This window comes from Homo sapiens, chromosome 12, assembly GCF_000001405.40.
Source record: "Homo sapiens chromosome 12, GRCh38.p14 Primary Assembly".
Lineage (NCBI taxonomy): Eukaryota > Metazoa > Chordata > Mammalia > Primates > Hominidae > Homo > Homo sapiens.
The window spans coordinates 50,688,559-50,701,287 of record NC_000012.12 but is presented as its reverse complement, the minus strand read 5'-3'; the positions used below and the strand labels follow the sequence as shown (position 1 = coordinate 50,701,287).

Below are 12,729 nucleotides of genomic sequence, written 5' to 3'. Positions count from 1 at the left end.
AAGCCAGTAAGAAAAATACTGGGAACTTTAATTTGGAAAACCCAGATACTAGCTTTGTCCTTTTCTGGTACAATTTTTATTCTACTTCACTATCACTAAATTTATAATGCAGATTTTAAATTTTCTTCAACACTATGGACCTAGCAGTTTGGTATTAAGTCTGAGAATTCTGGCTAGTGAACTGCCTCATTGGAAAGGTAATGAAATAAAATATCAGTATCTTCAAACACTGCTTGAGGCTCTTGTTTTTAGTAAGGAAAAGTCAATGAAGAAAAATTACAGGCGCAACGGCTCATGCCTGTAATCTTTGCACTTTGGGAGGCCAAGATGAGAGGATCACCTGAGGCCAGGAGTTGAAGGCTGCAGTGAGCTATGATTGAGCCACCGTATTCCAGCCTGGGTGACAGAAATAAATAGGGTGAGATTTAAATTAGTTAAATGTATATACACTCAAGGGAGGTAAATCAATCACCTAGGAAAGTAAACCAAGAGACTGGCAGTAAACACATGCTTGAAGAGCTTATGAATGCCCACTCCTGGCATGGTGAATTGCACACAGCTTTTGAAGGCTGGGCAAGAGCACAGTAGTAATAGTTATGAGAAAGACATTTAGTAAGTGATATAAGCCATTTTAGGTTGGGTAAACACAAAGATAAGGTTCAGCCCAGGAGCTCTTAGCCCTTTTCAGGTACCACATCATGGAGAGCATAGATATGGTATCACAGAGATGATACTTTCTCTGAAGTTACATCTGTTAGTATGTAATCACATGCACTGATTTCAAGTGGGACAGTAGATGCCTGTAACCTTCCATCCTGGGAATCACTAGTCTAGATTATAGAAAAAGAAGCTCAAAGAACTGAAAAATAGGAGTGCTTATATAAGCTCTGTCTTGTGTGAAGAGGGATGTGGCTGCCACCTGAATTTCTCTCGTCCCTAAAATGTATCCTGAGACAGGTTAATTCCAATTATTAAATGTAGACAATTAACCGCCCCTGTTCTGACTTCCAGGTTCACTAGGCAAAGTTTCCATTACAACCTGGCTTCGCATGCAGAAGTGCCTGCAGGAAAACCGTGTGCGAGTCTAGCTAGAATGTGCTGGCCCCACAAGAACGTGAGCTCCACAAGGAGTTTTGTTTTGTTTTCTGATGCACCCCAAGCATCTGGAACATTGCCAGACACATTAAAGGTGCTCAAAAAATATTTGTCTGACTGAAAGACTGAATAATATGAGCAACCTGACTCCTGTGAAAGGACAGTCTTCATTTTTAATTAGTAACTGAGCATAATTGGAGTTTACTCTCGAAATTAAATTTGAATTTACAAAGCTCAAACCATGGCAAATTCACCACAGTGAATTTTTGTGAGGCCTCTTACCCTTTTTTTTTTTGGTTTTGTTGTGTGTGTGTGTGTGTGTGTGTGTTTGAGACAGGGTCTTGCTCTGTCCCCTAGGCTGGAATGCAGTGGCATGATCATAGCTCACTGCAGCCTTGAACTCCTGGGCTCAAGGGATCCTCCTGCCTCAGCCTTTCGAGTAGCTGGGACCACAGCCATGCACCACCATGTCTGGCTAATTTTTTCAATTTTTTGGTAGAGATGGGATCTTGCTACATTGCCTTGCTACATTGCTACATTGCCTGGTCTCAAACTCCTGGCCTCAGTAAGAGCAATCCTTCCGCCTCAACCTCCAAAGGTGTTGGGATTACAGGCATGAGCTACCATGCCCAGCTCATCTTACCCTTTTAAAAAATCTAACAGATACACAACAGCACTTCCTATATGCCAGATGCTCTTTCTAAGCACTTTATAAAACATTAACTCAATTAGTGCTCACAACAATCCTATGACATAGGTACAATTATTACTTACATTTTAAAGATAAGGAAATTGGGGCACAGGGAGGTTAACCAACTCACCCAAGGTCAGCTAGTGACCTAAGTTCAGAATTTGAACTTAGGCAAGTCTAGCTCCAGAGTACACACTCTCAACCACATGTTATGCTATGTCCCATCAACCAGGGGATCTGCCCTCGTAACATCCTGAAATCCCCAAACATTTTCCCTGTGAAATGTTAATATCATGTACCTCAAATGTATTTTTTGTCACACCAGCAAGCCCAAAGTACATCATGCCTCCAGTTCTGGAGCTAACACAGATTTCTCCAATTTCATCTGTTTTGCAGAGCTGGGGAGGTCCATCTGGTTTCACAATGCACATCATCCCTAACGTACAGAAAATACAGGTTAAAGGACAAAGATTCTAGAAAACTTTTGTAAAATAACAGCTTCATCCTGTGAACCCAAGAAAGTCCTGCCTTTACTGAGTGGCATTAAGTAAAAATACCAGACAGGAATGCTAAACATAAACCTGAAACTACATAGGTATATTTGAAATGTAAAGCTTGTAGAGACAGTGACATATTAACGATGAATGCAAAGCCCAAATAAACAGGTTAGATGAATGAGGTGTTACCCTTAGGCAGGTCAAACTCAAACACTCTTGGAAGCAGTATGCTCTAATTTTCTGCCAGTCCCAATGGCTTGGCAATTACAGTGAAAACCAGGTAACTTTAACATCTCTCAGTATTTGGCCTTCCAGGTAAAGAAATGGACTTGAAGCATTCACAACTGGTAAGTCATACAATACTGCTGGAAGGTCAGCATAATTATAATGACTTAACTATTAGAGAGGCTCTGAGAAATTAAATGCGTTAAGTACTGAATTAAGGGTTCCTCGTTTGGGATTCTGTATTTTATCAGGCTCTATTATCTCTGATGACAAATCTTTATGAAAAACCAAATGATGCTCCTTGCGACTCACCACCAGGCATTACATGCCCTACATCCTGGACCGTCAGTGCTGAATTTTTATCTTCAGTATTGACCCGTATTACCCCATAGCTCAATCCATTCATTGAGAGAATGGCTCTTCCTGGCAAAGGGGCTCCTGGAACTCCAGGCCTGAAAAGAAGAACCCATCAAGTTTGGTGAATGAAATAACATCAAGGGAAAAATACAAATACATAGGAAGACAAATTTCCTCTGGCTACAATACCAAAAAAATTCTCCATTTTCTCTCCCAAAAATATGCCAAATTAGAGCTGGGTGTGGTGTCTCACACCTGTGATCCCAGCAACTGCTGTGGCAGGAGGATTGCTTGAGGCCAGGAGTTCAAAACCAGCCTGGGCAACACAGTGGGACCCCCATCTCTACAAAAAATACAAAAATTAGCTGGGTATGATGGCACATGCTTGTAGTCCCAGCTACTTGGGAGGCTAAGGTGGGAGAACCATCTGAGCCTGGGAGGTTGAGGCTACAATGATCGTGTCACTGTGCTCCAGCCTGGATAACAGAGCAAGACCCCATCTCTCAAAAATTAAATTTAAAAAAAATGTAGTGTAGTAAACACATAAACCAGCAAAATGGTCATTTATCATCATCATCAAGTATTGCGTACTGGGCCAGGCTTGGTGGCTCATGCTTACAATCCCAGCACTTGGGAGGACAAGGAAGGTGGACTGCTCAAAGCCAGTAATTCGAGACCAGCCTGGGCAACATAACAAGAACCTATCTCTACAAAAAAATTTAAAAATTAGCCAGGCGTGGTGGTACATGCCTGTAGTCCTAGCTACTCAGGAAGTTGAGGCAGGAGGACTGTTTGAGCCCAGGAGGTTGAGGCTGCAGTGAGCCATAATCATGCCACTGGGTGACAAAGAGAGATCCTATCTAAAAAAAAAAAAAAAAAAAAAAAAAAAGTATATCTATATACACACACACACATTCACTGATACTTACATACATAATGGTCTTGAATATACTATAGATATACTATCCATACTTAAGCTACAATCAAGAACAGTCTATTTTTAATCTAAGGTGCTATGGATTCCGAAGAGCAAAATGGCACAGAAAAAGAGCTAATTCACAAATACGAAATGATATCAATTAAATTTTTCAGTTTACTGCATACACTTTGAGCAAGAGTGGGAAAAATGAGATGCTTGAAACTGCTTAGAAAATTAGTTAACATCCGTTGGTCATCACCTGGTAAATACTGCACATTTCATCCAAGTTGTAACATACATCAAGAGCATCTGACATCCTGAACAGTACCTGCGGATTGCTACAGTCATGGCTTCAGCAGACGTGGCGCACGGACAGATGGCCTCAGGCTTCAGTCCATGACTTTGGAACAGACTCAGGAAGGCATCACAGGATGACACGGACCCTAAGGAGTTGGAACAGATCAACCTGAAGCTGAAATTATGCTTTTCATTACTGTAGGAAAATGGTAAAGAATAGAAAGCTGACATACTTATTTCTCATGAGAACTCATATTGTATATTGTTAATTCCACGCAAATATTTTACTGTCCCTGTGAGATGGTTTGATATATTTCAAGGACAAATTAATGCTCATCCAGCCCATAAAAGGTCACTGACACTATTTAAAATTACACCTTGGAATAAGGCTGCTCCTATTAAACTGACAAATCAGTATCAGAGATAACACTGCAGGCAATATGCAGCCAGTTTATAATTTAGCAACTCTTCCTGAGGAACTGTCATAGCCAGTGCAATTTAATATTGGCTTAGCTCCACCTTCTATATGATATTAAGGTCAAGCCCATGTCTGTGTTTTAAACTATGATGATCAATGTGACTACTAACAAAGTCCATTTATGACAAACAGTGTAGTGCTCTACCTGATTCTACTGTGTGAAGGATCAGGATTTGGGGGCTTGTAGAGAAAAGCAGGTAACACAGGAATACCCAGTTACATGATAGAAAGAGGTTATACATGAATGAGCAAAAAAGAATGACTTAAAAGCTTATAGATCCATCAAAAGATGAATGAGTAAATACAATGTGGTATAACTATACAATGGACGATTTCCTGGTAGTAACAAGGAATGCAGAAGTACTGACAGATACTACAACATGGATGAACGTTAAAAACATGCTAAGAAAAAGAAGCCCATCACAAAGACCACATACTGCATGACTGCATTTATAAGAAATGTTCAGAATAGGCAAATCTAGGGAGACAGGCAATAGATTAGCAGTCATCTAGGGCTGGGGCAGGAGGAAAAATGGCGAGTGACTGATAATGGGCATGTGGTTTCTTTTTGGGTGATGAAAATGTTCTAAACTTAGATTGTAATGATGGTTACACAACTCGTGAATATACCAAAACCACTGAATTACACATCTTAAATGAGTGAGTTTTTCAGTATGTGAATTATATCTTAGTACAGGGCGAAAAACCCTAATCTATCAAAACACAGGATATTCCCAGATCCACAATGAAGAAATACTCACAGGGGTTAGCTCCATCAGTCACAATTAACATTCGGAGGGAACTCAAGCTCACGTCTCTTTGGTCCCGATGTGCCATCATAGCCCAGTGCAAGTCCCGACATTTTACTAAAGCTACCTTGGCTATAAATTCAAAAAGGATGAAGTTAACATACACAATAAATTTGGGACATATGTAATACACCACAATAAAAACATTTTTACTTATTTGGGGAATCATGATATTTGCTTGGAGAAGATAAAAACGGTTTCAAAGAGATTGTGCCAATAGCTCAGAGGCAGAAATTATCACATTTAGACAACTGACTGGACCTACAATTGTTTGTTCACTGAGACCCTCTAGGCAGGTCACAGTGTCCCAGCCAAGGAAACTGTGAATACCAAGACAGTCAAATCTAATTCAAGGCTCGCATTTGGAAAAAATTCATCTCAATGCTTAAGAGAGGACATCAGTGAGATGAACAGGCAAGGTACCTAATTCTGTAGTAACTAAACTCTACAATTTGTTAAGGGACAGGGGCATACAAGGGCAATTTGAAAATCTCTGAAATCCCTGAAATCTTAATTCAAACAGTCACATAATTAAAGCTCAGATGTTGCAGGTGACTACCTTTGTGAGCATGTACTCTTTGGACCCAAGAGAGAGGACAGGTTTTCATAACAGAGTAGGGTACGCTGATTGTGTGCATCTTATTCATTACATTCTGAAAAACAAAGAAAGAAGAAAAGTAATCAATACAAAATACATACTTAGTATTTTAAAATTGAGCTGGTATTTTGTTAGCAATTTTAATTATACAAGTAATACTCAAATACACACTCTTTGAAAACAATCTTAAATATTAAATATAAGATTGAAGTTCCTTTAATACCTACCCTCAAACCTGGTTCCCTCCTCTCCTCGCCAGAGATAATCAGTTACAAATTTGACAGATATCCTTCCAATCTTTTTTCAATGCATTTTCATAGATATTTGTTCCCATAGAAATATATAAGTATTTTTAACATAAAAGACATCATATTATACATATATCTGTAACTTGTTTTTTTCATTTAAATTGTTCTAAAGCTAAATCTATGCATATCAGTATAAGAGATCTACATAATTCTTTTTGAACTGCGGCACAGTATTCCATTGTTTGGCTATATCACAATTATTTAGGCATTTCCCTATTAATGACAATTTTTTGCTACTACAAAAAATGTTTCAAGGAGCACATTCCTACTTCCTTCCCTGGACTTGTGCAAGTATTTCCCTATATGGACATGTAGTACTGCTGTCATATGGCATATGCTTTAAAAAAAAAAAAAAAAAAGAGACAGGGGTTTCACTATGTTGCCCAGGCTGGCCTCCAATTCCTGAACTCAAGTGATTCTCTTGCCTCAGCCTCCAGGGTAGCTGGGACTGGTGTATGTATGTATGTATGTATGTATGTATGTATGTATGTATGTATGTATGTATGTATTTATTTATCTGAGACAGAGTCCTGCTCTGTTGCCCAGGCTAGAGTACAGTGGTGCGATCTCGGCTCACTGCAACCTCTGCCTCCTGGGTTCAAACAATTCTCCTGCACAGCCTCCTGAGTAGCAGGGATTACAGGTGTGCGCCACAATGTCCAGCTAATTTTTGTATTGTTAGTAGAGTTGGGATTTCACCATGTTGGCCAAGCTTGTCTTGAACTCCTGGCCTCAAGTAATTCGCCTGCCTTGGCCTCTCAAAGTGCTGGGATTACAGGCCTGAGTCACAGTGCCCGGCTGTGGTATATGCTTTTAAAATGCTAACAGACACTGCCAAACTGCCCTCCAACCCACTTAATGCTTTTATCATGTTCGTACTTGCCACATGCCACAAAGGGGCTAGCTGGGCATCACAAAGCAAGAAATCGAAATGTCCCTGTTTCTTACAGGAGGTCCTGCCTACATCTGTTAATTTTTTTTTGTTAGATAAAGCTGAAGGTGTTGAGGGGTCATGCAATTTAGGGTCTCTCCTGCCACTCTAATCAAGCATACACAAGACACCCTGTCCCCAAACAGACCCAGCCTCATAGAATAACCAAGCCTTCGTATTGAGATTAGCCATTTTGCTCACTCTCTAACTTGCCCAAAGAAACCAAGATACTACTGCAAGATACTGTTTTCTCTCTCCAAGTTTCTAGCTCTGGTGAGAAACTTTTGGTTTCAGGAAAAGGCTGGTGTTTATAACTCAATTCTTCACACATGTCCCTATCTTGCACTTGGTATCACAGAGAAGAGATTCTTCTTACCTCCTCAAAAGGATTTTTAACTTCTGATAAAGAAGAAAATGGAAAAGGTTTCAGAAAAGAGCTAGAAAGTAAATTTACTGAAGATTTCGAGGGTTCTGGGTGAAAAGGGATCCACCTCCTCTTCCCTCATGATTCATTTCCCATGCTTTCCCAGCTCCTGCATTATCAAGAAAGTGAGACTAGAGGCTCTCTGAAGTCCTTTACAATTCAGGTAACCCTGTATTTTTTTTCTCTCTCCACCTATATGGCATGTTACATATAGTAGTTTTGCCACTTGAAATGTCCCCTCTCTCTACCTCTATATCCCCTTACAAAAATCTCTGTATGTCTAAAGCTTACCTATTTTTCAAAGTCCAACTCAGCTGTCACTTCTTCCACAAAAACTGCCTTGAAGCCCAGACCTAGAAGGAAGTCACCTTTTTCTAACACCCATAGTATGCTACCTGTTCCTCTCTGATGGGGAGAATCCCCATCTACCTTGTTACTCTTCTTCAGTTGCAGCATGCAGCTTATGCATGGCAGTCATTCAAAACATTCTGTCCAGTGGAAAGGTTATATAGCCTCTGGAAAATATTACTGACCTTTTGGGGATTTAAATTTCAAACAAGCACTGAGAGATGCTCCAGTTATACAACATGCTGGCCTTATCTCAAGCACAATTTACACTAAGGGCCTTAAATCTGAGTAGCTTACCGCAAACATGCCGTGCCACAGCCCAGCATCCTTCTTAAAGTCTAAGACATTTACTATTGTTTCCCCTAAAATAGAAAAAATAGGAAGACAAAGAAATCATCTTTAGTATTAAGTAGCAAAATTATGTCACTTGCCTCTTATAAACAACTGATTTGATGTTTGTTTGCTTTTTCTTTTAGATGGAGTCTCACCTCTGTCACCCAGGCTGGAGTGCAGTGATGCAATCTCGGCTCACTGCAACCTCTGTCTCCCAGGTTCGATCAATTCTCCTGCCTCAGCCTCCCAAATAGCTGGGATTACAGGCATACACCACCATGCACGGCTAATTTTGTATTTTTAGTAGAGAGGGAGTTTCACCAGGTTGGCCAGGCTGGTCTTGAACTCCTGACCTCAAGTGATCCTCCTGCCTCGGCCTCCCAATGTGCTGGGATTACAGACATAAGCCACAGCGCCCAGCCTGATTTGATGTTTTTAGAGAAATGACTAAAAGTTCTCACGGGTTTTTGAGGGTCTCCTCAAAACGGGTAGAGGACTGCTCATAGGGTAATGTGGTTACAACAGAGCCAAGGAGTTAGAAACTTCTTGTGACTTAGGCATTTCTTCCAAGAGGTATTTTTTTCCTAAATATGCGGAGAATACATGCTTATTTTAGAAACTTGGGAAGTTTGACAAATATAAATTTCCTAAAAGATACTTCCTAAAAAAAAAAAGTTGGTGTGTATATGTATATATCTCTAAACATTCTATCTATACACACACATATACTTCTAGGCATATTTACATCTAGATAGATATCTAATGTGACAAACTGGTATACAAAGCTTGGTATCTAACTTGTTCCTGCTTAATGATACATTGAAACAATTTCTTCATATCTTTAATATTCAAAAATAAAAATTTTAATGTCCCAGCCATTATATGAATGTATTATATATATATATATTTTTTTGAGACAGAGTCTTGCTCTGTCACCCAGGCTAGAGTGCAGTGGCATGATCTCGGCTCACTGCAACCTCTGCCTCCAGGGTGCAAGTGATTCTCCCGCCTCAGCCTCCCAAGTAGCTGGGAGTACAAGCACAAGCCACCACACCTGGTCATTTTTTGTTATTTTTAGTAGAGATGGGGTTTCACCGTGTTGGCCAGGCTGGTCTCGAACCCTTGACCTCAGGTGATCCATCTGCCTCGGCCTCCCAAAGTGTTGGGATTACAGGCGTGAGCCACAGCGCCTGGTCTGAATGTATTATAACTTAATCAATCCTTATTTAAGGGCATTTTGATTGCTTCCATTATGTGTGCGTATATATATATAATTTCATGATAGAACATTGTTGTCTGGTTAAAAATTTTATCATGACCATTTATTAACTTGTTTCATTTTATAAAGGGAAAACACTAAAAAAATTAATATTGCAAAGAACATTCTGAGGCAAATAGTGGTTTATGCAATTATGTATCAACCTATCTAAAGTTCAAAAATATCGAATACATTTTTGTGTTTTAATTTATGCTTTTTGGTAGCTGAATTTCTTTGACTCCAAATGTATAGCTGGTAGCCCACTATACAGGCAGGGGAAGATGGAGATACCTGCCATTCCACAGCTAACAAAAACAGGATTTTAATTAGGGTTTTCTACTGCTGTACTCTAGAAATTATGCTTTACATTTTGGTTTGCCCAGAATTTTGGTTCCTTTAAACTACAGCATATTTTTGAGAAGAAGAAAACAAAAGCAAGCCAAGAATGTGTCTTGGGACATTTCACTCTGAATTCGGTCATTAAATGAGGTCCAATCACTGAGCATTGTGCTCACAGTCACACATCTCTGAAGGTAACAATGAGGGCAGTCATGGGATGAGGTCTGACCTTCAGAATAATTGCAGGCCTGCGACAGAGCTTGGCAGTGAGACAACATTGCAAGCCGGGATACTGTAACTCCCATTACACTCCCTTCTTTGCTTGTTTTATACTAGAAAACAAAAACAGAAACATAAGAAACACAATAAAATGGGTTATTTCAGATGACAAAACTAGAATCCAAAAACAAAACCCAGAAAAACCATCATAATGGGCTGAATTTAACATGTTTAATATGAATATTTAAGGCAATGTACTAGGGTCTCAAACTCAAATCACACAAAGATAGGATTGGAGGATGACAAAGCTCAACAAAAATATATGTGAAAAAGACTTCAAAGTTTAATAGTCATCAGTGTGAAGTGGCTGCTCAAAAGCTAAAATAAACAAGTGATTGGAGCTATATGAATAGAAACACAATATCAAATAAATACAAGTCAAGCACAGCACTGCAGAGTGAAAGGTATGTAAGACGCGGTCTCTGTGCGTTAGAAGCACCCAATTTTGTAAGGAAGAACTAGAAACGAATGGCCTATTTGCTCCTCCAAATCATTCAACTATAATTTTGCTTTTACCCTTAATGTTCCATTCAAGTTGCTTTTTACCAGGACTATCAACTTTCCTTTCTTTCTTTCTTTTAAGAGATGGAGTCTCACCATGTTGCCCAGGCTGGATTGGAACTCCTGGGCTCAAGCAATCCTCCCAGCTCAGCCTCCTGAGTAGCTGGAACTACAGGCATATGCCACTGTGCCCAGTTCAACTTTAAAAAAATTTTGGCTGGGTGCGGTGGCTCACGCCTGTAATCCCAGAACTTTGGGAGGCCAAGGTGGGCGGATCACAAGGTCAGGAGATCGAGACCACCCTGGCTAATGTGGTGAAACGACGTCTCTACTAAAAATACAAAAAATTAGCCGGGCGTAGTGGCGGGCGCCTGTAGTCCCAGTTACTCAGGAGGCTGAGGCAGGAGAATGGCGTGAACCTGGGAGGCAGAGCTTGCAGTGAGCCGAGATCACACCACTGCACTCCAGCCTGGGCAACAGAGCGAGACTCCGTCTCAAAAAAAAAAAAAAAAATTAAGTGTTCCCAAGGTCAATAATGAGAAGGGGAGAAAGAGTAGAATAGGAGTTTGATCTGTACCTGACTGTGAACAGTCAACTGAGATAATTAACTACCTTAGGACCAGCCCCAATTTTTTGATTGTTATATCAAAAGGACATTTTGCATACCTTATCGAACCTTTCTGCAAAATTTGACTACTCTCTTTCTTGATGTTTTCTCCTTCCTTTGCTTTTTTGATACTCCTCTCTTCTAGTCTCTGTCTCTGTGTGTCTGTCTCTCTCCCACTGCTCCTCCATATTCTCCACCCTTATCTCTTTTCACTTTATTCCATTAGGTTACTGCATTCCTAGTAACTCCTTGTTCTCTATCTTCAACCCAGCCTCTCCTCCAGAGAGATCCAGACTGACAGAGTCAACTAATCCCCTGGAATGTCCAGTAATCCTGTGAAACTCATATATCCATCACTGACTTCTTTACCCCCGTCCCTGCCCCTGGAAACTCTTCCTGTTGTATTTTCTATCTTAGTGAAGGATGCTGCCATCAATCCCAGTTGCTCAAGCAAGAAACCTGAGTCTGTCTTGCCTTCTCCCTCTCCAGCATCAGTAACTAAGCCCTGCCTGCTCTATTTCCTTACTGTCTGAAGCTCCATCTACTTTGCTCTCTGCTCTCTACCATAAGCTTGGGCTCACCTGAATAACTGTAAAGCCGGTCTCCTTTTTTTTTCTTTTTGAGACAGAGTCTCGCTCAGGCTGGAATGCAGTGGCACGATCATGGCTCACTGCAGCTTTGAGCTCCCAGGCTCAGCCTCCCAAGTAGCTGGGACTACAGGCATGTGCCACCACACCCGGTTAATTTTTGTTATTTTTTGTAGAGACAGAATTTCGCCATGTTGCCCAGGCTCGTCTCGAACTCCTGAGCTCAAATGATCCGCCTGCCTAAGCCTCCCAAGGTGTTAGGATAATAGGGGTGAGCCACTGCGCCCAGCCCTTATTTCCTTTCTTAACCCAACCAGTCCAGATATATCTTCTTATAATAAATTCATTCTTGTCACTCTCCTGCTGACAACCCTTTAATAACTCCCTATTACCCAGAGATGCTTTAAACTCACTAGTAGAGTCCTGTGGGTAATAGGAGGATCCCAAGCAAGAACTGCAAGTTAATTCAAAATAACAGGCACCTAGAAAGACAGAGGGTAGAAGTTCTAATAAGGCCAGAGAGCTAAGCAAGAGCCACACAATGGAGGACCCTCCACCTTTCGGAGAGCCAATAAAGACAACTGAAGGAATGGCCAATGAGGCAGAGGAACTGAGAGAGGAGTCCAAGAAGCCAGGACTGGAGTTTTAAGGAGGACCGAGTGATGAACCATGTCATCACTGAGACATGACATAGATTGAGAGCTGATCACTAAATTTGGTATTTTTAATTGCTTATTTGTATTTTTTTCTTTTTTGAGACAGAATTGTGCTCTGTCATCCAGGATAGGGTGCAGTGGCATGAACACAGCTCACTGTTGCCTCAACCTCCTGGGCTCAAGTGATCCTCC

General features: G+C 40.6%; 1 protein-coding gene across 1 annotated transcript in view; it reads right to left on the bottom strand.

The window, feature by feature from the left end:
• DIP2B (disco interacting protein 2 homolog B) overlaps positions 1-12,729 on the bottom strand; it is a 243,673-nt gene that overhangs the window by 47,370 nt on the left and 183,574 nt on the right. The window contains exons 13-19 of the mRNA NM_173602.3: positions 10,137-10,239; positions 8,275-8,339; positions 5,928-6,021; positions 5,321-5,440; positions 4,113-4,227; positions 2,821-2,960; positions 2,086-2,222 (exon numbers count right to left, since the gene is read on the bottom strand). Of these exons, the coding sequence (NP_775873.2) occupies positions 2,086-2,222; positions 2,821-2,960; positions 4,113-4,227; positions 5,321-5,440; positions 5,928-6,021; positions 8,275-8,339; positions 10,137-10,239 (774 nt within the window). The remainder of the gene's footprint in view (positions 1-2,085; positions 2,223-2,820; positions 2,961-4,112; positions 4,228-5,320; positions 5,441-5,927; positions 6,022-8,274; positions 8,340-10,136; positions 10,240-12,729) is intronic.